Below are 2,183 nucleotides of genomic sequence, written 5' to 3'. Positions count from 1 at the left end.
TAACTATTCAGGAGGCTGAGGCAGGAGAATCGCTTGAACCTGGGCGGCAGAGGTTGCAGTGAGCCGAGATTGTGCCTCTGCACTCCAGCCTCAGCAACAGAGCGACACTCTGTCTAAAAAAAAACACAAACAAACAAACAAAACAAAAGTCATGTAGGTTTTTGTGCAAAGATAGGTTTCCTTTTAACTACGGCAAAAATTAGGGGTGGAATTGCTAGATCGATATGGTAGGTGCATCTTAAATATTTGAAGAAATCTATAACTTCTTTATTCTTATTAGCAATGATTCAGAATACAAGTTGCTGTATTATCACCAGCTGATGGTATTGCCAGTTTTGTTTTGCCTTTTCTTTAGTTGTTTTAACAGGTGTATAATGGTATTTCATTTTGGTATTAATTTGCATTTATCTAATGGATGATTTTGAACACATTTTGGTGTGCTTATTTGCCATCTGTATGTCTTTCTGACTAGGTATCTGTTCAAATCTTTGTCTATTTCTTAATTGTATCTTCTCTTCTTATTGTTGAGTGATATGGTTTGGCTGTGCCCCCACCCAAATCTCAACTTGAATTGTATCTCCTAGAATTCCCACGTGTTGTGGGAGGGACCCAGGGGGAGGTAATTGAATCTTGGGGGCCAGTCTTTCCCGTGCTATTCTCATGATAAAGAATAAGTCTCACGAGATCTGATGGGTTTATCAGGGGTTTCCGCTTTTGCTTCTTCCTCATTTTTCTCTTGGCACTGGCTTCTTCCTCTATCATCTCCATTCTGCTTTTCAGATCATCCAGTGATATTTTATATATGTATCACATATACGATATATATCCTATATTATATATCACATATACGATATATATCCTATATTATATATCACATATACGATATATATCCTATATTATATATCACATATATGATATATATCCGATATTATATATCAAATATATGATATATATCCGATATTATATATCACATATGTGATATATATCCTATATTATATATCACATATGTGACATATATCCTATATTATATATCACATATGTGACATATATCCTATATTATATATCACATATGTGACATATATCCTATATTATATATCACATATGTGACATATATCCTATATTATATATCACATATGTGACATATATCCTATATTATATATCACATATGTGATATATATCCTATATTATATATCACATATGTGATATATATCCTATATTATATATCACATATGTGATATATATCCTATATTATATATCACATATGTGATATATATCCTATATTATATATCATATATCGTATATATGATATGTATATACGATATGTATATATCGTATATGTGTATATGTATATATCGATATGTATATATCGTATATGATATGTATATACGATATGTATATATCGTATATGATATGTATATACGATATGTATATGATATGTATATATGATATGTATATGATATGTATATACATATATGATATGTATATCGTATATATGATATGTTATATATCATATATATCATATATCATATATCATATATCATATATATGATATATTAATATATCATATATCATATATCATATATATGATATATTAATATATCATATATCATATATATGATATTATTAATATATCATATATCATATATCATATATATGATATATTAATATATTACATATATCATATATATGATATATTATATTACTATCATATATACGATATATGATATATATTATATTACATATCATATATACGATATATGATATATGATATATAATATAGGATATATGTCACATATGTGATATATAATATAGGATATATGTCACATATGTGATATATAATATAGGATATATGTCACATATGTGATATATAATATAGGATATATGTCACATATGTGATATATAATATAGGATATATGTCACATATGTGATATATAATATAGGATATATGTCACATATGTGATATATAATATAGGATATATGTCACATATGTGATATATAATATAGGATATATGTCACATATGTGATATATAATATAGGATATATGTCACATATGTGATATATAATATAGGATATATGTCACATATGTGATATATAATATAGGATATATGTCACATATGTGATATATAATATAGGATATATGTCACATATGTGATATATAATATAGGATATATGTCACATATGTG

The sequence above is a fragment of the Homo sapiens genome, chromosome X (assembly GCF_000001405.40).
Source record: "Homo sapiens chromosome X, GRCh38.p14 Primary Assembly".
Classification (NCBI taxonomy): Eukaryota; Metazoa; Chordata; class Mammalia; order Primates; family Hominidae; genus Homo; species Homo sapiens.
The sequence above is the reverse complement of the archived record's forward strand: the minus strand, read 5'-3'. Positions refer to the sequence as shown.